This window comes from Homo sapiens, chromosome 14 (genome assembly GCF_000001405.40).
Source record: "Homo sapiens chromosome 14, GRCh38.p14 Primary Assembly".
Lineage (NCBI taxonomy): Eukaryota > Metazoa > Chordata > Mammalia > Primates > Hominidae > Homo > Homo sapiens.
The window spans coordinates 22313736-22339650 of NC_000014.9; the positions used below are offsets into that span (position 1 = coordinate 22313736).

At 39.8% G+C, this 25915-nt stretch overlaps 1 pseudogene, 2 gene segments (V, D, J or C) and 1 further gene, besides 8 other annotated features; 3 read left to right on the forward strand and 1 right to left on the reverse strand.

Moving 5' to 3' along the window:
- The window catches only part of TRA (T cell receptor alpha locus), a 930229-nt gene that overhangs the window by 691832 nt on the left and 212482 nt on the right, over positions 1-25915 (forward strand).
- Positions 755-797: a sequence feature (TRAV40 leader sequence).
- On the forward strand, positions 755-1184 carry TRAV40 (T cell receptor alpha variable 40). The segment is given in 2 exon segments: positions 755-797; positions 911-1184. Coding segments are annotated over 2 exon segments (317 nt in total), but the record flags the coding sequence as incomplete, so codon positions are not given.
- Positions 911-921: a sequence feature (TRAV40 leader sequence).
- Positions 1192-1213: a recombination feature (spacer).
- Positions 1214-1222: a recombination feature (nonamer).
- Positions 6453-6504: a sequence feature (TRAV41 leader sequence).
- Positions 6453-6956, forward strand: TRAV41 (T cell receptor alpha variable 41). The segment is given in 2 exon segments: positions 6453-6504; positions 6673-6956. Coding segments are annotated over 2 exon segments (336 nt in total), but the record flags the coding sequence as incomplete, so codon positions are not given.
- Positions 6673-6686: a sequence feature (TRAV41 leader sequence).
- Positions 6964-6986: a recombination feature (spacer).
- Positions 6987-6995: a recombination feature (nonamer).
- LOC100420343 (translin associated factor X pseudogene) lies at positions 19190-19700 on the reverse strand (annotated as a pseudogene).

The following is a 25915-nucleotide window of genomic DNA, read 5'->3' on the forward strand; positions in this document are numbered from 1 at the left end:
CCAAAAATATCTTGATTCACTACCGTTTTCAGTGAAGAATATTGCAAATGTGAAAGATGGTAATAACAGGAGCAATCAAACAATAGACAGTCCTGAGAGGTTACTGCTCTTTTACTGTAAAGCTAAACTTTGAAATGTGAATGCTAAGTCTTTGTTAACACAATTATAATAATAATTACATTTTAGATAGAATTTCATATTTATTCTTGCATTGTTGAAGTTAATTCTATTTTTTGATATTCAGATTCAGCTTTAGCTTCCCCCAGATATTGACTTTAACATCTCACCATTCGGCATTTGGTCACAATGTGTGTTCAGTGGACCATGTTTTAAGGAAATAATTAGACGTATGAAGAGGGTTTATGTAAGCATAGATTTATCACAATGTTGTTTGTAAAAACTGAAAATATTGAAACAACTGTCTAAAATACTGACATGTTGTGATGTCTAAGTTCTAGTGGAAATTATTCTCCCTTAGAATAAGTGTTGTAGCGATAACAGACTTAGGAGTGTGGTGAGTCCCCTTTGCACAAAAAGACCACCTCACACCCAACATGACTCTTAAGAATGAGGACAGTAGTGAGGACACACTGCAGAACACTGAGAGGCAGATGACGTCTTATAACCTGTTCATTAACTTGCCACTTGGGGGTGCTATTCACCAGTGAAATCATAATTTATGCATGAATTCTGAGTACAACTGTGAATCCTCACTTCAACAGTGATGCCCTCTGCTAGGCCAGAGACACTAACAATGAACTCCTCTCTGGACTTTCTAATTCTGATCTTAATGTTTGGTAAGTACATTTTATTAAAATTTTTTGTATTATTTCAAAATAATAAATACTTCTCCAAAAGATACAACAACTCTGGCCAAACCCATAAAATCAGTACTTTTTTCCCCCTACAGGAGGAACCAGCAGCAATTCAGTCAAGCAGACGGGCCAAATAACCGTCTCGGAGGGAGCATCTGTGACTATGAACTGCACATACACATCCACGGGGTACCCTACCCTTTTCTGGTATGTGGAATACCCCAGCAAACCTCTGCAGCTTCTTCAGAGAGAGACAATGGAAAACAGCAAAAACTTCGGAGGCGGAAATATTAAAGACAAAAACTCCCCCATTGTGAAATATTCAGTCCAGGTATCAGACTCAGCCGTGTACTACTGTCTTCTGGGAGACACTGTGTTAAAAGCACAGTGGGAGCTATACAAAAACCTCAAAGGCTCAGAGGAAGTATGTAGTGAGGCTGGAAAACCCAGGTTGTAGAGCCCTGTTCTCTCTTTCACAGACAGTCCTGTTAAGACATTATTAGAAGATAAGGAAAATCAAAATCAGATATAACTGCCTCTAATTCCAGGGGGCACAGGGGTTTCTTTGACAGAAAATGGGGTCAGGGAAGAGGGTCTCAGATGATATCCCTGCTCTCAATTAGGTCAGTTCTCTCTTGTCCTTCAGGCTTTCTTGCATGATGTGTAGGAATTAGAATATGATGACTTGGATGTCAGTCCTGGCTCTACTACTTATTAGCTATGCAAATTTGGCCAAGTTAATTGATGTCTCAGAGCTTTAGTTTTTTTCACTTGTGAAGTAGAAATAAAAATAATCACACAAATTTAGCATGGAGATAAAGTGGAAAAAAGGTAGGTTAGGAAGGGGCAGATTAGTACTCAAAGCATTTCTGGAACTTGCAAGTCCCACCGTAGCAGTTCTGCTCTCTCACAGCAATCTCTCTGCCTAGTGCTGACCATCCTAACAGGGCTTGGCATGCCCACTGCTTTGTCACACCACACCACACCCCACGCCACGCCCAGCCCCAGGCCATTATGATCAACATATCATCTTTTCTCTCACAGGCTCCTACTGACACTACACACAAAAATTAACTCAAAGTGGATCATAGACCTAAATGTAAAAACTAAAATTGTAAAACCCTTAGAAGAAAACATAGCAGTAAATTTTCATGATCTTGGGTTAAGCACTGATTTCTTAGATGTGACACCAAAAGCACAAGCAATAAAATAGAACATTGATAAGTTGGACTTCAACAAAATTAAACTTGTTTATGCTTCAAAGGACACCATCAAGAAAATGAAATGATAACCCACAGAATGGGAGAAAACATTTGCAAATCATATGTACTATGTACCCGATGATAAGGGACTTGTATTTAGAATATATAAGGAACTTTTACAACTCAATAATAAAAAGAAATATAACTCAAGCAGTGAGCAAAATATTTAAATAGACATTTCTTCAACAAAGATACAAGAATGTCTAATATGCATATGAAAAGTTACTCATGATTAGTCATGAGACAAATGCAAATCAAAATCACAAGATATCACTTCGCAAAAGTAAAAGGCTATGACTTTTTAAAAAGGACAATAATGAGTCTTATCAAGGATGTGAGAAATTAGAACCCTCATACATTGTTGGTGGGGATGTAAAATGATGCTATCACTTTGGCAAACAGTTTGGCAGCACCTCAAAATGTGAAACATAGAATTAGCATATGACCCAGCAATTCCAGCCCGATGTATCTACCCACAATGCATATGTCCCCACAAAAACCTGTGCATGAATGTTCATAACAGCATTGTTTATGGTAGTCAAAAGTGTAAGTAATCCAAATGGACAAACCAGATGTGGTATCTCTATACAATGGAATATTATTCAGCCATAAAAAGGAATAAAGTACTGACACCTACTACAACATGAAGAATCTTGAAAACATTATGCTAAGTGGAAAAATCCAGACACAAAATGGCCATATTGTGTATTTCATTTATATGAAATACCAAGAATAGGCAAATCCAAAGTCAGAAAGCAGTGTGGCTGCCAGAAGCTGAAAGAAGTGGGGAGTGGGGAGGGACTACTTAATAGATGTGTGGGGTTTCTTTTGGGGAAAATATTCTGAACTAGATAGTGGTGATGGTTGCGCAACATTGTGAATACACTAAAAGCTACCATATTATATACTCTAAAGTGATTAAAAGTATGAATTTTATGTTGTGTGACTTTTACCTCAATAAAAAAGAAGACAACCAAAAAATCTAAATGTGATTCTTAATGGGACAAGAAGCTCTAAAAAAATTAAATTCTTACTATTCCATTGCAAACAATTCCAATAAGTATGTGAAATATGGAGCCATCTGATAAAACCTATAGCAGTACGGGAAGGTATACTAACTCAGCTTTTAACTAAAAATTATACAAATGTTGACTGACACAAAGGCAAAGGAGAATAGCAAAGATGGCATGAGCCTTTAAGGAAATCGTTAAAAAGTGGAAACCTTTTAATGAATGCAGTTAAGGCTTAAAGAAAATGTGAAGTGGAACATAAAAAGCGTTTTAGAACAGTTTGGAGAAATGAAGAGGGTGGGGTGGGGAGGAAGGTTAATTTACATATCGAGGAAAACAGAATAATTTTGGTAGAGAATAAAGAAGAGGTAGGGCACTTCGACCCCTGGTTTCATCCTCTATTCTTCATCAAATACAATAATTTTGGGCCGGGCGCAGTGGCTCATCCCTGTAATCCTAGCACTTTGAGAGGCTGAGGCAGGCATATCACCCGAGGTCAGGAGTTCGAGACCAGCCTGGCCAACATGGCAAAAACCCCATCTCTACTAAAAATACACAAATTAGCTGGGGGTGGCAGTGGGCACCTGTAATCCCAGCTACTCTGGAGGCTGAGGCAGGAGAATTGCTTGAACCTGGGAGGCGGAGGTTGCAGTGAGCCAAGATCATGCCATTGTACTCCAGCCTGGGCAACAAGAGCAAAACTCCATCTCAAAAAAAAAAAAAAAAGAAAAGAATAATTTTCAAACTGGAAATGAAGAAATGAAAAATTATGACAGATAAAAAGATACTAAGAGAGAACTTAGATGCTTTGAAAATGATCAATTCTTCTGGGTCTTTTAAACTAATCCCCAACATACAAAAAGAATTTGCAGGCATGGTTGGCAAGGCATTGGGAGAATTTTTTGAAAACCTATCAGGAATGAAGGAAATCCCCAACTCAGGAACACAGAAATAGTGGATCGATACCCAGCAAAATTCTAGAGCAGATTATTAACAGATAATGTGTGGGCTCTTAGAAAATAATGCAGTGATCAGTACCAAGCCAGAATGAGCTCACTAAAGACATTTTTAAAACAAGTCCTAAATTCAAAGGACTTCCGTGGACTTCAAACGTGTCAAATATTTGCAAGATATTTAATAATTTGTTTTTCACTATATCAATGGGAAAAATATATATATATTATCATTTGTTGAGTGTTGTGTTTATCACAGGCCCTGTTGTACTACATATGTAATAAGAACTAACATTTATTTATCAAGGGCTTAATGTGCATGAAGTGTTGTTCTAAATGCTTTGCATACATTAATTCACTTAATCTTCACTACAACCTCATGAAGTAGGTGCAATCCTTATTATAGATAAGGAAACTATCTTTAATACAGAAGAATTAACTAACTTGCCCAAGAACACAGAGTTAGTAAGGGAAGACCTGGCATACAAATACAGTTTGACAAGCCCAAAGCCTGCATTCTTAAATTCTATACTTTGTTACCTCCCAATGTTATCTGTAATCCCCACCACAAAACTATAATTTTGGTATTGTTACACCCATTTTATGAATAAGGAGACTGAGGATTGGAGTATTGAATAGAAAAATCCAGTAGAATCTAGTAAGTAGTAAGACTAAGGCTCAAACCTAAGTTCATTTGGATCTAGACTGTATCCTCTATTCACTTTGTCATTCTGCGTAATGCTAGACTTGGTGAATTCTCAGCTGAAAGAACGGCCATGTATAAATATACAATTTAGAAAAATGTCCCTATTGTTACACCTCATGATTTTATCCTTCACTTTGACCTGTTCACATTGATCTTATGTAAATTCACACAAGGTATGCCCATTAAATGTACAAATAGCAAATTTTGAGATCGGTATATGATGATCATGTCCTAATGATCTCCAGCTAATATGTTTATTTACAGCATAAATTAAAGATTGAAAATCATCTGAACAAACTGGAAAGATAGACTGAAACTGTCAAAATAGAATTTAATGGAGATAACTATATATTTATACAGTAGTTTTATAAAAATGAGTTGTAATGTCTGGAAGAAGGGATCCTGAATTTTTAGTATTTGTTGTGTAACGCGCTCATAGTAATTAAGGAAAAGATTTTCTGAAAGGATATTAGAAATTCTCATAAAATCAATTTGTGCAAAATACAGCTAGGACTCACAGAAAGAAGAAAATCACCAATTGGCTATGCTTTCCGAATCTACTTTTCTCTGGATGTATGATCTGTTCTCCTCCTGGGAAACCAGATTCCACTGTAAGCCTGTCATATTCTACTCCACAATAACTTCAGTTTGAACATACCCAGCTCTGTTTGCTAAGAGATGAGTCTGGTTTGAATAGCACAGGGCTTTAAAGCTCTAGTTACACTGTCTAACTGCGGTTTCTGTACCTCTAGTTCAAATTAATGAGCGTAGTATCTTCCCAGATCCAATAAGCTATTGCCAGAAAAAGGAGGTTATTTGGTACAAGCATGACCTCTATGTCATCTCTTTAGAAAGGAATCCCAAAAGTGGAAAAGGACTACATGCTCAAAATAATTCACCAATGTGATAAAACAACTGAAACTATCATAGATAACAATAAAACAAGTGGAAACCAGATGAGTACAGTAATACTCTGACAGGGCAACAATATTTGAATCACATTTGAAGAGACGTGAACAAACTGTAGCAAGTCTAAAAATAAGAAAGATAAAACTAATAAAGTAGTCTGAAATAATACCATGTGCAGAAAGAAACAAGGATGTCACATAAAGAAACCAGAGATATTTATAAGGACACCTTTACAAAAAAGAACAGATCTGGCCTTGAGTTTTCAAAAGATATAATGTGAAATGCAGCTACTCTACTTGATCTATCATAGCTGGCTGAAGTCTAACAATCAACAAGCTTCTGTTCTCCCACACTACCCTCACCTTTCTTCTAGGACTCCTAGTAGGAGGATGCTAAGTTTGGTTCTCTATCTGTATTGTGGGTGAGAGGGGCTGTTTGTTTGTTTTAGAGACAGGGTCTTGCTCTGTTGCCCAGGCTAGAGTGGAGTAACATGATCATATCTCACTGTATCCTCAAACTCCTGGGCTCAAGTATTTGACCTGCATAATAAATGTCTACGCCTCATGCCACTAGGTGGCAATGTGGGTGTTATACTGAAAAGATCACAGATGGTTCACTTTGCAAGTAAAACTGTAAATGTTCTTAAGTGTGCATTTCTGCTGCTTCTGATGGGCTGAAAATCCCCTTTGATTTCTAAAGTAAATGTAGAGACGTTTTAAAAATAAAGGACTCCTTTGTCCAAGATATATTCCGAAATCCTCCAACAGAGACCTGTGTGAGCTTCTGCTGCAGTAATAATGGTGAAGATCCGGCAATTTTTGTTGGCTATTTTGTGGCTTCAGCTAAGCTGTAAGTTGGGGAGTTTCAGGACATGAGATATTTTTCAAAATTCTGGGGAGGGGAGAGAAGGGACTCCAAGTGGCTAATCTGGAGGCCCTCCTGAAAATGTGTAAAGAAATGTGTATAAATATTGCAATAATTGTAATATTCTGTATCTGATGATGTCTTTGAGAACAGGTGTAAGTGCCGCCAAAAATGAAGTGGAGCAGAGTCCTCAGAACCTGACTGCCCAGGAAGGAGAATTTATCACAATCAACTGCAGTTACTCGGTAGGAATAAGTGCCTTACACTGGCTGCAACAGCATCCAGGAGGAGGCATTGTTTCCTTGTTTATGCTGAGCTCAGGGAAGAAGAAGCATGGAAGATTAATTGCCACAATAAACATACAGGAAAAGCACAGCTCCCTGCACATCACAGCCTCCCATCCCAGAGACTCTGCCGTCTACATCTGTGCTGTCAGACACAGTGCTCCCCAGGCACCTGGAGCCCGTACCTAAACTCTAAAGTTGAGGCATCATTTCTTACTCCTGTCTTTCAGACTTGTCTGTCTCTATCCTTGGTCAGATGATGTAAAATGTTTAAGTTTTTAAAATATAATATTCTCCCCTTCTAGACCATCTCTCTTCTCTACAACATCATCACCAATTATGTTAACCAGACAGTATGTGATTTTTATCTTGAAAGTAAAATATACAGGGTATAAAAATCCCGATTCTGCTACTTATTAACTGGATGATCTTGACAAAGTTACTTAACTTCTCTGTGCTTCAGTTTTCCCTCAGCTATAAAAAGGAAACAGTGTTAGCCATGGTACGTAACCCCAATTGTGGGGATTACATGAGGTAATATACACAAAGGGCTTGACACATTTCCTGGCACGTAGTGTTACATAAGGGGTATCAATTATTAGTATTAGTTTTAGATGTACCATGAGTTTGCTAATATTCACTATGGATTAATACCACAGATCATTGGAGAAGTATGTGGAATATAAATAATAAGCACCTTATAATAATTTTAGTTTTTAGATTCTTTCCTAATGATGTCCAGCACTTGGCCTTTTTAATAGTGTTAAGAAAAACAGGGAGTAGCTGTAGAAAACGTAATAGAAGGATGACTCTATGGTTTGGTTTGTGGTGTGGAAATGAAAGACTGGTAAGAGATGTTTCTGAGGAAGCTCAGCTGCTTCTTTGGAAAAAAGGACAGGTTCTAAGTTTTCATGTGGAGATCTCTAATGGAAACTTGCATTTGTGGAAATTCATGAAGCAAAATATCAAACCCAGTGTATCTAAATCAACGGTTCTGTATATCCCCCAAGGATTCTTTACATTACTATTCCCAATCCCAGTGGAATTCTTATATCAAAACAAGTTTTATGATTATAATTGTTCTTATTACTCAACAACATCAATCACATATATTAAATTACAGCTACATTCTTTTTTAAAATCAAAGGCTTTTTAAATCAAAATACTACCTGCACATATCTAAAAAGCCAATAGTATTATAAAGGTCTGTTCCTTCCTTAGCCCATCAAGAAAACAGAAATACCATGCTCTACCCCCACCTTCCAATTCAAATCCATTCTAGCAATTTCTAATTAATATGTATATACTCTTGATTTATCATTATTAAGCATTATCTATTGACTTCCTTCTATGGCAGCATGCAAATACTCTCACTTTCTCAACATAGTTATATATATATCATAAGCTGGGGTTAAATAGACAGTCAGTGCATATATGATTATGACCACATGAATATTGCCACTGTCCAACCAAAATGACAACTATGAGTATATATCCTTTCTGGTACAACGTATTTTCTTAGTTAATAATTACATTTTTTTCATTTATTCTATGTCAATGTGCTATTTTTTCTAAGTTCTTCAACACAGTCTTAAAAATATTTATTAATAATTTCTCTCAAATGCTTCAAGCACCTTAATTTCTTTTTTTTCCCCTCAAGATTCCCTTTCCTTTGACCTCCATTGTTTCTCTGTGTGAACTGATTGCTCTATAAGCATAAATGTGATTCTAGACATTTTAGTACCACTCTCCCAAGTTGGCATTCTTGCATTTTGGATCTCATATCTTCATTTCCCAAAGACAAATACTAGAGAGAAAAAAGGGAGAGGAAGAAGAAGGAGAAAGAGAAAGGAGAAAGAAACACTCTTGGGCTCACTTTTGAACAATGAGAGAAACAAATGAATAAATGGTTCCTGCCCTCCCCCATGCCCTGCAGGAGGAAAAGTCTGCGGCATATTCCAAAAGACTCTTCAGAAGGTCATGCCAGGATCAGGCACCAGTCATGCACATGGTGGCCAGCTCCATTATGCACCATTGCATTGGCTCTCTCCACTACCCAAATTTGCTCTCTTGATCCCTCACTCCTGCTCCATGAGATCAGTTCCCAAAAATGCCCTGCATGCAAACCTTTATCTCAGTCTCAGCTTTTAAGGGAATGTAAGCTAAGACATGCCTTTTCTCCCTGTGAATAGAGAGGACACGGAGCCAGAAGACACAACCCTGCCCGTCTGCTCTCAGTAGTGCCTCATCCCCTTCAAAAGCCCTAGATACTGGCCTATGCAGCTGTCCCAGGGACTACTGACCACAGCTTCTCTATCGGTGATACATGTTCCTGGCTTCCTGTTTTTAAGAAGTACTGGACACACCTGTGTCACTTTCCTGAAAGAAAGAGTGCTGAGATTGGAGGGTCCAAGTGGAATTACAGGCTGAGACAGAGAGAAGATACAGGAGATGCTGGCCCTAACAGAGAGGGAAAACAAAACAAAACAAAACAAGAAACTATTCTTATGAAATAAAATAAAAAGTCTCCCCATCTGAGAGTCCACTGGTCTTTCCTGAAAGCCAAGTCATTTTTCCATCGAATAAATGCACGAGTAAAAATCAAGAAAACATAAACATGGATAAAAGTTTCCTCATAGAGTTGACAAGATTATTCACAGAGACAGACTTCTTGGTCTCAATTTTCTCAGCATCCTCAGAGTTTACTGTGTGGACACTATGATCACAGAAAGAATCTCAGGTGCCAAAGCTAGCAATTCAAGTTGTTTCTGGTGGAAGTCAGTGCCCTCCTGTAGTCAAATGAATGAACTAGTAGAAACCACTGCTTTGGTCAGTTTCCCCTCTCCTGTATCTGGCCTTCAGCACCTCAGTAGATGCTTAGAGAGCACTTACCAGGCACCAGCTCCCAGTTGATATGGGAACCATTAGAACTCTCTCCAGAGAAACTCAGTCTGGCCCAGTGTTTCTGACTTCAAGCCTCATTTCCATGAATCAGGTAGCTGGTGAAATTGATAGACTGCAAACTCCATGAGGGCAGGAACCATGCCTTGGTCATTACAGTGTCCCCAGTACTTAGCATAGTGCCTGGAGCCAGGAGCGTTCTCAATGATCTACGCTGCTTTGTCATCTGCTCTGATAATGAGAGTTTCTTGATGTCAAGGGCTGTGTTTTGTTCATTTTTGTATCCACAAAGGGATTAGCACTGTATTTAACAATAGTAGAAACTGAAGAAAAAAAAATTGTGTGGAATTACATTTCCTCTTTTTCATCAGAAGTGACTTAGTCTTGCTGACTTTCTTTCTATGCCCTTGTGTGTTGCCTCTTTGTTTGCTTACTTGATTTTTTTGCCTCACTGAGAATGTAAGGTCTGTGAGGACATCGGCTTGTGTTTCTTCATCCCTGATATTTCTTTTGCAACCAGCCCAATTCTGATATCTAGAAGGAGGTCAAGAAGTGGTTTTTGGAAGAATAAGTGAATGTAATAGTTATTTCGGACTTGTGTTAAAAGGCCTCTTTGCACGATTTAGCAGAAAAAGCACTGGAGTCTTAGTCCCGGTTTTGCAGCTAACTGGGTAATGTAATTCTGAAGTCACATCCCCACTTTCGGCTTCAGTTTATAACCTGGAAAATTAGGATAATAATACACACTCTACCTTTATCAAAAAAAATCACGATCTAATCTGAATTAGATCATGAAAATGAATACCTTTTAAAAAGTGAAAAATTTTAAACAAACAAAAATTAATATTATTAAGGAATTATATATATATATATGGAATTAAATGGACAAGAAATATTATCCTAATATACTCCAAGACAATAGTTTTCACTCCCATACTTATCCGCACTGCTATACAATTCAGTCAGTGCCAAATCACTACCCACACACCTGGTTGTCCTTATTACTGTGGCTTTGCAACCTTCCCATCACTCAGCTTATCTAAATATTCTCCTGTATCTAAAACCAGTTTTTAGAATCTCCAAAGAGCTTGTTTTCCAACATCCCCCAGAAACATGCATTTCTCACCTTACTGAGCCAAACTATTCCCCAGTGTTCATCCTCTCTCCAAGAAAAGTTTTTATTCATTTGGTCATTGGTCAACATTTTTCTCAGCTGTCTATTTCTCAAAATGTATGTTCTATTCTACTATTTTCTTAAACTAATGCTATTTTCACCACTGGCCAAACTTTGTATTTGAATTTGAATCTTATTTGAATTTTACATTCTACTTTGGCCATATCTTTGTAATCAGAAATACCAGTGATAGTACTCACCATTCGGTGTACAAAGTATATAAAATAGACATGCTCCATATCTATTAAGTGATGAAAATTTTCTAGGTGATTTTATTATAAAATTAAACATTTTTAGAAGAAAATGCTTCTTTAGTAGATTGAGAAGAAAATATTCCAGGGAATGACCAACCCAGTGATGTCATCTTACTGTATATATAAATTTTCATACTTGATTACTACTATAATCAACTACAATGTGAACATTTCTTTTGAAGTGCTAATCGGTATGAAATATTCTCTTCAACCTCAGATTAAATATTCACCCTCAGTCCCCCTCATTTCCCCTGAAATACAATGACATTAAATTGCCTGATCTTTGCATTTTCTGATTTATTTTATTTTTATTTATTTTCCTTTGAGGTGGGCTGGGTACTTGCAATGGCTAATAGTGCAGAGCTGCAATTCTAGGCACTATCAGCAGGTGTTTTAACTAACACATTATGTGGATTATTTAAAAACTTAATTTAAGGTATATGATAATATAGTACTGCTTTGTATTTTTACAAACTCATATTTTTTTTTTTTTTTTTTTTTTTGAGACGGAGTCTCGCTCTGTCGCCCAGGCTGGAGTGCAGTGGCGGGATCTCGGCTCACTGCAAGCTCCGCCTCCCGGGTTCACGCCATTCTCCTGCCTCAGCCTCCCAAGTAGTTGGGACTACAGGCGCCCGCCACTACGCCCGGCTAATTTTTTGTATTTTTAGTAGAGACGGGGTTTCACCGTTTTAGCCGGGATGGTCTCGATCTCCTGACCTCGTGATCTGCCCGCCTCGGCCTCCCAAAGTGCTGGGATTACAGGCGTGAGCCACCGCGCCCGGCCTACAAGCTCATATTTTAAAGCTCCATTCTTAGCTCAGAGCTGAGCCATTAAAGTTCAATAATGTAAGACAGCAAGAATGCTAAAGCTTGATGCTAAACCTATTCAGTAATATGGAACAGCATTTGAGATCAGGAAGGAGGTGGTCCCACAACTGGGAATTAAAATCAAAATGGATTTGAGCAGATAAAGCTGCATGTCCAAAGGAAGTTGGTGGGAAAACTTGAATCTGCCAGGAATTTTCTGCTAGATTTACTGCAGATCCTGCCAGATTCAAGCCAAGCATAGAAAAATAAGCAGAAAACCTCCTTCATCACTGCCTGTGAAAGAATGTTGAGTCCAAGAGACGAGTAGAGAAAGACCTCTATAGATTAGGACCCATTAATATACACTGACTTGGCAAACCGAGACCTAGAGGCAAGTACAGACCACAGGACCACCAGATGATTTACTACCTTGGATCCTACTGGTGGCAAAAGCTGCTCCCAGGGTCCACTTCCCTGTACAGAAAACTACCTCATAGAAACTGAAAATTATATGGCAATATACATCAAAGAGTCCTTGCACTCTGACCCTGTAATTTCACTTCTAGAAATTTCTTCTTTCTTAAAAAAACAATCAAGTATGTACAAAGATTCATTTTTTAAATGTTGGTGAGAGCTTTATTTAAATGAGTGGAGAAGGAAAAGAAACCCCAATGTCTCACAAAGGAGTTGATTTAAAAACTGGGGGCACATTGGATATAACCAATAAAAATCATTTTATCTAAACTTCTGCTTCCAGCCACGCCGAAATAACAGGGACCAGATTTACCATTCCACTTGAAACAACAGCAACTGAGAAGGCTGCAGACAAATGACATAAATCAACAATTTCCAAAACACGGTATACTAAGCAATAAATGACCATGATCCTGAGAGATGGGAAACAAATGAGGCGAGCCCTAACATTGCAATAGCTTATTGCCTTGAGAGAGTTTCTAGGCCACAGCACAAAGAGGGGAAACTGAGGCAGAACCTGGTAGGCTCCCTGAATTGAGGCAACAGATCTGAGACAGAGAAGACTAAGGCAGCTGAAGTTCATAAGACAGAATACACGAGAGGAGAGAGGGGCACAGAGAGGACCTAGAGATCTGCCGAGGGTGCCCTCAAGTATTCAGCAGAATGCTCATCTGCGCACGCATGTGGAATCTACCCGAGGGTGGGTGGCGGCAGCAGGGAATAACCATTCAAAAAGATTAAAGGAAAGAGGACCTCTTCAAGTATGTCTAGAATTTAGAAAAGAGTTTATTGCTTAGCCATATATTTCTTAATTCTTTAATTAATATTTCATACATTTCATTTTCTCTGGCTCTAGTCACTTATCACTGTGGTCCATTTTCAAACAAAGAATCATTTCACATATTGAGGAAACAATATATGAATAGCCTGTCTGGCTTAGATAAAGAGTAAAGGCAAGAGACCAGGTGCGGTGGCTCACGTCTGTAATTCTGGTCCTTTAGGAGGCAGAGGTGGGCAGATTACCTGAGGTCAAAAGTTTGAGACCAGCTTGACCAACATGATGAAACCCTGTCTCTACTAAAACTACAAAGAAGTAGTTGGGTGTGGTGGCACATGCCTGTAATTGCAGCTATTCCAGAGGCTGAGGCAGGAGAATCACTTGATCATGGGAGGCGGAAGTTGCAGTGAGTGGAGATCACGTCACTGCACTCCAGCCTGAGCAACAGAACAAGACTTCGTCTCAAAAAAAAAAGTAAAGACAAGAATAAGTATCACCCATATGGCATGACCAAAGTTTTTGGTAAACCTAGGGTTTTTTTTCTGTTGTCAGTAATAAAATTGCCCTTAAAAACTAGTTTTTATTTCTCATTCCTGAACTCATTTACATATAATGTCGAAGTATGATAAATTCAAACTATGCTGACACCTGTACGAATGTGGCTTAGTATGATATAAAGTCTTTATACTTTCACCAACTTCAAACCTCAGTTTCTACTGTTATAAAGTTCATTTCACTCTCTCTTGTGACCATTTAAATACTTTCACATATTTCATCGCATTTTTCATCTTCTAGGGCTGAGGACTCCTAATTCTTAAGAATATTTCTGTTATCCCTATAATTACTGTCGTGTCTCTCCAGGCATTCTTTTTTAGTGAACAGTTGTCATTAATCACTTCCAGAAAGGATTCAAACACCATCTCTACATTTATCCTTCCAAGTGCTGTGACTATTGCCTTGCGAACTACATTTTCCAGGCTCCCTTGCAGCTAAGGTGCAGATCTGTATTCAGCCAAGTATTTGATTGGGAGATGAGCCATATGAGGAACAGGTTAGGCAGGGGCATCCCTTTTCTTGGTTTAGGGGCAGTGGAGGCCATGTGGTCTGGGTTAGGCAGCAACAGCATCTTCTTGATTGGGCCAGGAGCAGTAACTTCCTGTTTGGGCCCATTTGGCTGCATATTCTGTTGCTGGCAGCACTGGAGGCAGCTGGCATAGGGATAGGACTGCAGCCTTCTTATGAGGCTGATGGATGGGTGGTTCTGGGCATCACTCCTGGAAGTCGAGCCTAGAATCTTTTTCTCCAGTCTGCCCAATGATTCTATGAGCCTTCTGCCTCCCCAAATCCTGATCTGCTTACACTAGGTAAAGCGATTTCCTTTCTTTCTTGTCCCTTAGCACACAGATATCTCACAGTGTTTAGTCTGAGACCCACCACAGCTTTCATTCCAGCATCCTTTAAGCTGAGTATCAGACCTGGTTCACTTTTTCACTGCAGTACACTTGGCTCATTCCAATGAGGATGACTTCATGTTTATAGTGATTTCTGGTTCCTTTGCTTGGAAATCCTAAAAGATAGAAAAGAGTCTCCAGTTGCTGCAGACGCAGGCATGAGATATACCGAAAACTCTCCAAAATTGTCTCTTGGAATGTTTCTTCATTACTTCACTAGGTTTCTTTCTAACCTTCAGAGCTAGTAAGGACCTTGGATTAAAAGGGCCATTGAATTTCTAGTTTAGTTAAGAAATATTTTCCTCATTTCATGGGAGTGGGGAAGCAGTGCAGACTAAACTCAGAGCCCACATCATGTTGTTCTTACCAGTTCAAATCAAATCACGGTTTCCAGTCACTTGGCTAATATTTATCCTTCTTTAAATCTTGATGAAATGTCTCTTCCTCAATGAACACTTCTCTGCCCCTCAACCTAAATTTGTTCCCCTCGTGTTACTGTTTTAAAGAACCCTGTAATTTCTATGTATTTCTGTGTGATTATTTGTATAATATCTGTCCTTCCTATTAACCTCTAAGTTCCACTAAATGCTCTGTGTTCAGAATAGTGCCTGGCACAAAGGAGTATGACAAATAGTGATGAGTGAATGAATCTGAGCCATCAGACATGTATCTTACTTTGTGTTGGGCTGTCCCTCAAGTGTAGATGTTCCTAGTGACAATCCCATTAATTCAAACACTGACTGGAGAGGATTGAAAACATATGAAGCAGTGCTTTTGGAACTGAGGCTGTAGTCCAATATGACTGGAGATAAAAAATGAAGACTTTAAAAACAGAATTCACATAAAAGCAGGTATCAACATGGAAAACTGCAGAGGATGCCTGTATACACAGTGGGCACAGCAGCAGCATTAGACCAATCACCTCCAAACTTGAGGTTCCAGGCTGAGGTGACAGATCAGAGTGAACCAGGCACTGTAGAACAATGGGAACACTTAGATTCCTGACACTGGAATTTGCTGATTCTTCTACTAACGTGTAGCAAGAAATTTAGCCTTACCCAAAGTCAGGTCTGGTCTTTGTCCCAGTTCCTGGGAGATAACCTCTGAAGGCTCGGAATTTCCTGAATTGTTGGCATGTCTTTATAATTGATGGTGGGGTCCTTGGACCGCACTTAATAGTTTCTGCTATCAAGATGACTCATTGTGAGGCTGGCCACAATCAATGGTCTCAGGATGGGGGCTGGCCATGCCAGAAAGACCAACCATATAACATAGGGTGGAGGGTTTGTGTCACAACCTAGAGAGTGAGTTCAACCACACAGGCTATCAGTCATCTGATATAATGAAGCCCCAATAAAAACTCTGGACACCAAAGCTCAGCTGAGTTTTCCAGACTGGCAATATTCCATGGGTATTGTCACGCCTTGATGCTGGGAGGGTAACTCATCCCTGAGGACAGTGGAAGTTTCACGTTTGGAACCCTACCAGACTCTGCCCTATGCATCTCATCCCTTGGCTGCTTTTAATGTATCCTTTCTCTGTAATAAACGAATCACAAGTATACTAGGTTTCAATGAGTTCTATGAGTCTTTCTAGTGAATTATGGAACCTGATTTAGGAAATACCCAACCTTGCCATTGGTGCCAGTAGTGAGAGTGGTCTTGCATGAACTTATCTCCCCTTTGTAGTTGAGTCCTAGCGACTTACAGTTGGGGGCAGAAGTCTTATGTAGATTTAGTCTGGAGGTCTATGACCTTAACCTTGCAGTTTGGCTAACTCTGGGTAGCTACATTTTGTATTGAGCAACTCTATATGAATAAAAGAAGTTTTGTTCATATAATGCCTTAACAGTGAATCAAGTATATCAAGAAAGTTTTTTAAAAGTTAAAAGTAGGCAAGTCTACTGGTAATAAAGTAGGCAAGTCACAAGGTAATTAAATGCCTACGTTTCAATGATTACACATGTTGCTTAGAACATACACATATATGAGATCATCACGTTAAAATATTTCTAACACACAGGCTGGCAACACCTAACAATAATAATAATTAGTAATTGTCTAGTTCTTACTACTAACTGGTTTCTGTTCTGAGTGTTCTACATATATTAACTAATTTAATTCTCATAAGAACTCTGGTTATTAGCCAGGTTTGTAGAAGCTGAGGCACAAGGAGGTTAAATACTTCGCCCTATGGCACACTCCCAAAATTTGAATCCAAACCATCCAACTCCATAGCTCATGCTCTTAACCAATGCCCCATACAGCTTCTCAGAAGGCAATCACTTGAAATTTCTCTCTGATCTTATAGAAAGGTGTTAGTAGACTGGTTATCTTAACGTCCAATCCCAATCATCTTTGTAGCAAAGTAATATTTTTATATGAACATGTCAGAGGCATTTGAACCAGAGCAACTCCATCTTGAATAGGGGCTGGGTAAAATGAGGCTGAGGCCTACTGGGCTGCATTCCCAGGAGGCTAATGCATTCTTGGTCACAGGATGAGAAAGGAGGTTGACACAAGATACAGGTAATAAAGACCTTGCTGATAAAACAGGTTGCAGTAAAGAAGCCTGCTAAAATCCACCAAAACCAAGATGGCGACAAGAGTGACCTCTGGTCATCCTTATTGCTACACTCCCACCAGTGCCACGACAGTTTACAAATACCATGGCAATGTCAGGAAGTTACCCTATCTAAAAAGGGGAGGCATGAATAATCTACCCCTTGTTTAGCATATAATCAAGAAATAACCATAAAAATGGGCAATCAGCAGCCCTCAAGGATGCTCTGTCTATGGAGTAGCCATACTTTTATTCCTCTAGTTTCTTAATAAACTTTCTTTCACTTTACTATATGGACTCACCCTGAATTCTTTCTTGCGTGAGATCCAAGAACCCTCTCTTAGGGTCTGGATTGGGACCCCTTTCCAGCAACAAAGAGATGTGTATTTTATTTCTGAAAATACTTTTTTGCTTTGTTATCATTCTCATGTTAGGCCAGCAGCTCAGGAAGTCCTGGTCTCCTTCCTATATTGGAAAAGGGAGTTCACAATGAACACAAAAGAAGAAAGGATAAATTTGAAAATTCCTCTGGAGACAATAGAATGGAAAAAAGGGGTTTTGAGTTTGGGTTACGACTTTTGAGTTTAAAAATAAATCTATGCCTCAAAAAGTTCTCTTAGAATATATCTGAATACAAAAACCAATTATGCAACCCTAGATTTAATGCAAATTTCTTAGTTTCTGGGAATTTCTGGGGTGATGGAGACAAAAGCAAGAAAGTAAGACATCAGTGAAGATCTCTGCCCATCTCCACATACCCTCCCAGCAGTGGGGTGGGAGGAGGCAATTTTTAGCCCCCAAATAGGATGTTAGGAATCTGAAACTAGAGGAGATTGACAACTAATTCCTCTCAGAAAGACTGAGTGACAGTATCCTGCAAATTTCCACCAGGGCAGAGACAGCTGTGCAGTAGTGCCAATAGGCCCAGAAAGCCCAAGACAGCCCCATTCTGCCAGACTGGAATTAGAGTAGTTGAATTTTTGCATGCACACAAAAAGCATAGAAATTAACAGAGAGAGACTTAGTGGACCTGGATGGGTGTCAATATTATAATAAAAAGGATGCAGAGCATATAGATTAACAGCCAGAGACCTACAGGGACTCAGACATCAGGACATTAGAAACAATAATGTCCCAGACTGGACCCTAAGCACTGCACCCCAACAGATGCCAGTATGGGCCAGGTGTCCCCAACCAATGCCAGACCACCAGTTAAGGCCTCTACATTCCACCCCAAGGATGGCGAGGAGGAAATCTGAACTGATGGAAGACATCCTGAATTGACTTAGAAAGTCATGATTTTACTGAGAAAACCCTGTATTTACTTAAAGCAAGCTTTCTGACACCACGCAAAGTGGTTACCAGAGTTAGAAATTAGGCTGTTATAGAAAATAAAGCTATCCTGGATTGAACATCTGAGTAAATTACAAAACATTTACCCGCTACATCTCTATTCACCAGATAGCGAACTCAAGCATTCCTCTGCCCCTACATAAATGACAAATGACATTCACGTGTATTACATATCCCCTCAGGCCTAACTAGGGCTGTGTGCTGTTTCCAAGACCAAAATGTCACAACTGTAAACCACTCACCTGGATACTTGCTATAAGAAATAGCTTGGATTAGTATGGAACTTGGTGTAACCCTCAAATATGGGAGTTTGTCACTAGAGGTACCAGAGGACCACATTCTCTGTTAGGGGACCTCGATGACAGTATATTACAATGAAGGCAGTGACTGGCAAACAGCAGCTTCAAATAGGCATGCAAACAAACATTGAGAAACAGTAAGCACATAAGATAACTCATTTAGACACTTTTATATGCAGCATGTATAGGATTTAAAATAACATTCCCAAGTTGAACTGAAACCATTACTATGTAAATGCCACAGCCAAGTCAAATGAAATAGTAAATACCAGCCTTGCAAATTGGTCTCCCTCAAGGGCACTCAAAAGAGTTAGACTGCGTGCTGCTGCCTTAGGAAATGTCCTCCTCTCTATCAATCATTTCTGCTTTGACATCAAACCCATTGACCAGCATATGTTTTGGAATTTCTGAACAACTGACTTTCAAGGATTCACATTCATTCTGCACTTTCTTAGAAACCTCACAGGAGCCACTGTTGCCAATAAAATAAAATAAAAAAACACAAACATTATAAATCTAACCCCAAAATGGGATTGCTTCAAAAGAGAATGGACACCCCACTCCCTACATTGCTTGTACACATCTGTGTTGATTCTCTTGGTGAACTGGCCCATGCAAGCAGGAGCTCATCAATCAGCAGTTGTCACCAAGTGCAAGTCAGAATTGCTCAACAGAAAAATTGAGTCTTTTTTTATTCCCTATTGTCACCTACTAAAATGTAAGTTGCTTGTTGATCTCATCACACTGAGCTATGTTTCAGGGAAGTGTTGAAAAGGCCCAGCCTGCGCATATTCTTGAAATTTTGAAATAATGGCTCAGTGAACAGATGTATACTTTCTCCCAATGGCTCTTTGTGGAAATGAATTTTTTATGAGCCCAAAGTATCTTTGATTCATCCCTGATTAAAAGTCAGGTTAAAACTAAATACCATATACTTTTTGAAAGACATTTTAGGAAGTTATTGACACAAGGACTTTTGAGACTGAAAATCATGGGTTAACAATAAACCTTTGTTTGGTGAAACAAAAGAACAGTACAGGACAGAGGTGAAAAGCACAGGCTCCAGGGCCAGAGTCCCTGGGCTCAGATTCTTCACATTTCAGCTCTGTAACCTTGAACAAACTACTCCAGTTAATCATAACTTCAGTCTTTTTTAAAAAATGGGATATTAAATAATGGGTATTAAATAATAGGGTTGCCATAGAGGAAAATATAAGGTAATATTTATATGCACATAAAACAGTGCCTGGCACAGAGCCAGTGTTCAATTAGTACTAGCTATTTTTTGGATACATGTAGATAAAAGAAGCATTTAATGAATAGTTACATGCCCATTAACATAAAATGTAAGCCACTTCCATATTCTGTAGCTTATGGTGACAAAGTTTTCTGCTCACGTATTAACTAAAAGGAGCGAAGAGCTTCCCTATAATATTGAAAATTTTATCCTAATGGTTCCAAAGGACTGTTTTCTAGGAATGTTTGCTACAGAAACCTCACTGGTTAGATGTTTGTTGGAGCACACTGTGATTATTCATTGTCACTGCAAACTGTGTTTACCACGGGAGGCTGTTCTGACTCACCACTTTGTGACTCACCGATTAGTAAACAGCTAAATGTCGCATTGCTGATTTAGGTGTAATTTACTGCGTCAATATAAAAGGACTCTGCAGATTCTACTAAAATCAAGAACATAGCTAAAGGCATTCTTCATCGTAAAAACGAATTTTAGAAAACAAGATGACTCTAACAGAGTTACTTTAAAATACAATGCAATATGTCTATTTTAAATGACAACAATATCTCCTGTCTGACAGCATTCAACTTACTTTCAGATTTATTCGGTGTTTTCTCAACTTCACGAGAAATTGAAAATCCATAAAGGAGGGAAATATGTCTTGTTTCATTTTCAATAGTTATATCAAGAATACTTTTCAAAAGTATTTCATATTTACCATGTTTTCAGCAAGTAACTCTTAACAATACTCTGAGAGTATGATCGTGATGATAGGTAAAAATCAGGATCACTCCCTTTTCATCTTTACCTGTGTAGAGCAATGTAATGTGCCCTTTTCCCAAACCCTCTGACTCCATGAGGGATGAGACACAGAGGGTGTGGCTGAGGGCTCCTAGGACCGGGACTCCTTGGCTGATGTCCTGTGGCCTGCAGTCCAGGGCTTGCAGGTGATCAAACAGGAAAGGAGAAATGAGGGAGGCACAGTGCTACGAGCAGGCCTGTGTTTTCACTGGGAATGGTGGTTAGCAGATGCTCAGATGTGTCTCTTCTCCCTCACACTCACCTTTGGCTTGGCTCTTAACTCCTGCCCACCCCTCCCTAAACCCTCTGTGGAGGTCCGGAACTGAGCGAGTCACAGACACCCAGCAAGCAGTCTCCAGAGAGGCCTCTGTGCATGAAGACTTCCCCAGAAGGATGCCCACTCTTCCTACCTGGCCTGGGAACTCAAAATGGGCACAAAAACTGAAGACTGTGAGAGAGGGTCAGCTTACAGGCCAGAAACTGACAATAAGATTGATGTTCAAATAGCTGAATTATTGATTCTTATCCTGAGATCCACTCCTCATTTTCAGTCTTGCGATAAACCTTAGTGAGGGGTGTTTTGTCTTGTGTTCTATCTATTGGTGGATGGATTCCAACTTTTCTGAATATGGGGACGTAATTTTTAAAGCCAAAAATTTTGCAGATAGTAATGGATTTTTAACATCCATTGATTAACAAAGTACTATGAAAACAGTAACACTTTTAAATAAATTTGCTTTCAGTTTTTTTAACTAAACATAATACATGCATGTATATATTTAAACTTATCACACTGCCTGGCACAGTGAAAGCACTCAAAAAATATTAGCTATAATTACTCCTATTGCTGTTGTTTACTCAATCATAGGTAATGCCTGGTATACATGTGGATTCTTAGAGTCCTTATAGAACACAGCAGCACATAAACTATACTAGGCTCTAAATCTTCTCTCCCAAGAACTTCATCTGATGCATATTTCACCAGCAACAGCAGCATTTAGCACTGTCTTGCTGTAGAAAAATTCTTGATAAATTAATTGAATTAAATTTATGTCACATAAAATGTCATGAAGAGATGGAAGTGTCTTGGTCCTGTATCTTAGCATTTTCAAACCTCTCCATTGTTTTTTTTTTAATGTATAGATTTCACCTGTGTAAAAATTAAAAATAAGAAAACTGATCCTAATGCTCTTCATGAAAGGCAAGAAAAGCCTTCTTGGAAAGCAATAGTTATGGGAGAGTTCTGCCAGAATTTGTTCTCAGAATGACATGAGAACAATTTTATTCTAGGAAATAGAGGTGCTGAGGACTCAGCTTCTGACCTACCCTAGATCATAAACATCACTGCACTAACAGCCAATTAAGAATAATCTAAGCTCTTGTCCTTTTATAACAGACCTGGTTATGTCCTAAAAAATAAGAGCATTTATAAATAAAGAAGAAAGTTTAACAGTTCAATAGATCAACGTGACTTTCCAGCTCCTCTCTGAACAGGTGACATCTATTTCCCCATCCCTTGAATCTCAGTTGGCCTTGTAACTTATGTGGATCAATAGAATGTGGCCGAAGTGACAGCTGTGCAAGTTCTGAGCCCTCACCTCAAGAGCCTTTGCACTCTGTCACCTGCTCTCTCAGACCTCGGCTTTTTTCCACGTGAATAAACCGAGGCTAACCTTCTGGAAGAAAAGAGACCATATGAAACAGAACCACATCAGCCTGAGGCCCTGGACATGTGCGAAAACTGAAGATCAGCAAAGCTGACCTGAAATTGAGTCACAGTTGACCTCAGATGCATGAGAATCTAACCAAGGCTGAAAACATTTGGTTGAATCCCACCTCAATTTCTGACCCAGAGATAGCAACTAATGTACAATATCATGATTGTTATGCAGTCATTAGAAAGAATATATTAGATAAATGTGTATTGGCCTGGAAAAGGTATCATCTAAGTATGCTTAATGATTATCCATCTTAAAAAAAAAATACAGAAATAGGGTTGTAGAACAAGGGTCCTGGTCATACTGAGCTTACACTTCTGTTGATGAAATAAAACACATATGAGATGATGAGGAAATAATTCAACCAACAAGAAAATACTTTACAACCAAGAGACTTATTAAATAAAATGGGTGCACCTTTTATAATACCAATAAGTATAATAGTACCCTAACACAGTAGACACATTTCTGTTGTCTGTAGTTATCTTTCAGAAAGCCGTCTTGGGAGAACCTTTAAATGACCTCAGAGAGCGAAGGTTTATGTAAATAAAGAATTAAGTCAGTGTGGGTAGAGGTTCAGCACCAGGGTGCAGGAAGTTATGTGAAGATTGTGGTATGGGGCTCATGTCTAGAAACAGAGAGTGGCCCCATGTCAGCCTATGAGGGAGGAGCCAGGCCCCACCTCAAGGGTCTCCTTCAGGAAGATCTCTGTGGGAAAGGAGCAGGGGTTCCAGGTTTTCAGCAAAGCCTGTGCTTGGGCAATCCATCAACACGGTTAGTCCAGGGCCCACATATAACCTCTGACCCTTCTCACATTTATTTTCTCTGTCTGGTACTTCCTCTAAGGAGCATCCTGCCACTCACCAGCCCCTACCAAACACACACACACACACACACACACACACACACACACACTCATACTCTATTTGCTCATAATCTCATAATCATCCATCAGGTTTTAACTGAGATAGTACTTCTTCTGGGAACTTTCTCTGGTGAGAGATCCTCTTATGTGGCTCTTGACCTACCAAACCAGAAGCAGTTGTGCAATTAGTGATCATTATTCTCTTATTTATTATAGTATCTCCAGCACTTAGCACAATATCTGCAGACAGTGGGCACGCACTGAAAAAAAAATACTTTTTGAATCAATGAATTAAATAGCTAGTTTTCATTCACCCTAAGAAAATACCAAACATTGGTCTTAAGAATGTCACAGGCCTGAAGGTATAAAGGAGGAAGCAAGGAAACAAAATCAACAGACAGAGCCTTGGCAAAATCTGCTGTTCACCAGTCCTCCCAGCAAATCCATTTCCCATTCTGGGGAAGCAATGCCAAACAGCTCCAGGAACTCTGTACATGGTCTGTCAAGTATCCAAGACAGAAGGGAGACTTTTCAAGAGTGGAAGCCCAGCCTGCTTGCTCCAGTCTGGACTGTGCTGGTCTCTATTTTCCTAGTCAGGGATGGCCCCAACCTGGGACTGTGTCTCCTCTCAGGCTCTGAGGCCTTGGGAATGGAGGAATGTCGTATCTGCCAGTGGTTTAGGTCTGTATTGTGAAGAATTAACTTTCCCAAACAGAGATCTGGCCTTCACCCTCAGCTGCTGGGTGGTGATTCCTAGGCTCCTGGATTGTCCTGCCAGATAGGAGTATCTTTGTTTGCCTGAGGGCTTTGGCCACCAGTCAGTCTAATAACGTGATATATGATGGGGCTTTGGAACATGCCATGTGAATTCTGACCTCTGGAGGAACCAGAGATCATTAGCTAGAACCTCCAGGAGGGGCTGGAGGTTAAAGGTCAGCCACGTGGGCAGCGTGTGATAAAGCTCCAGGAAAAACTCTGGACACCAAAGGCTCAGTTGAGCTCCTATCTTCTGCAACACTCCATGAGTTCTGTCACACAACATGGCTGGGAGGAGGTAACACACCCAGGTCTCCCTGGGAGAGGACAACCAGAAGCTTCATGTTTAGAACCCTCCCAGATTTCACCCAATGCTTCTCTCCCTTTGGTTGGTTCTGATTTGTACCCTTTTGCTCTAATAAACTATGATCATGATCACTTTCCTGAGTTTTGTGTGTTGTTTCATGGAACTATCAAGCCTGAGGGAGCATGGGAACTCCCAGATTTGTAGCCAGCTAGCCAGGAGTAAAGGCAGCCTGGGGACCCGGAACTTGTGGCTGATGTTTGCATTGAGGGCAGTCCTGTGGAGGACTGTGCCCTTAACCTGTGAAGCATGGCCACCTCCCGGCAGTTGCTGTGAGAACTCATTGCAGGGCCACTCAGGGAAGTGTGGGAAATTGAACCAATGATGCCTGACACCACGGCTTCCTGACTATCCTCTAGGAAGTCTATCAGGAGATGCCCCTGTTCACTTCCCTGTAGGTTCCAGCGAGGCTCAGAGGGTCATCAGTTCTACCAACAATATCTGCGCAGAAGAGAGTAGCTGTGATTTTATTTTAGTCTGAAAGAACACTGTTTGTTGTTGATTAACACCTAAATATTACAAACAGTCTCTCAGTGTGAGAAGATTTATCTTATTCTCCTGTGTAATTAGAATGATTATTCAACAAATGGATGTTATCTAGCGAACTTCCAGAAAGAAGCCAAATTTATCAACCTCACCAACTCACACATACAGCCAGGGATCTATATTCTTGTGCTCTCAGAGAAGGCATGGAGCTTGGACTGACAGCAAAAGACCAACAAAACACCCAGAAGCCAGTCAAAAATGGCCCAGGCTGCAGGATCCTTGAAAGACCTGAAAACACACGAGGAAAAGGCTGGGAAATAGTAATGGTGAGTGGACCTCTGCGGTCTGGAGAGGAAACTACTGGTTATTTTAGGAAAAACATTCCCATAATGGGGCTCAGGGAAAAAAGAAAGTAATGGTATCCAGGCCTTATTCTCAGAAGCATTCTCCTCCCTGAATCCAGTATCTGAGGTAACTGAGCAGCAGATAAAAATAGCATTTTCTCGAAACAAAGCAAAACATTAAAAAAAAAATAGCCTACTGTCTAAGCTTTGTCTCCCAGTGGAACTCAGGAACCAAGCCAGCTTCTCCAGCTGTGCACCTTGGCTGTGTGTCTCAGATGGAACATTTCTGACTTCATTCCCTCCTCCTCCCACGTCACTCGGTAAGGAGGGTGGGCCAGGACAAGCAGCTCAGACAGCTGTTCCTACAGCTGGCCTTACCACAATCCCCCAGGCCTCACATACATGCACCTCTGGGCCCTGCCTGCCTGCACTAAACCATCCGGCCCAGTGCAACAGACCATTCTTTCAAGCTGTCTCTCTCCTACTCA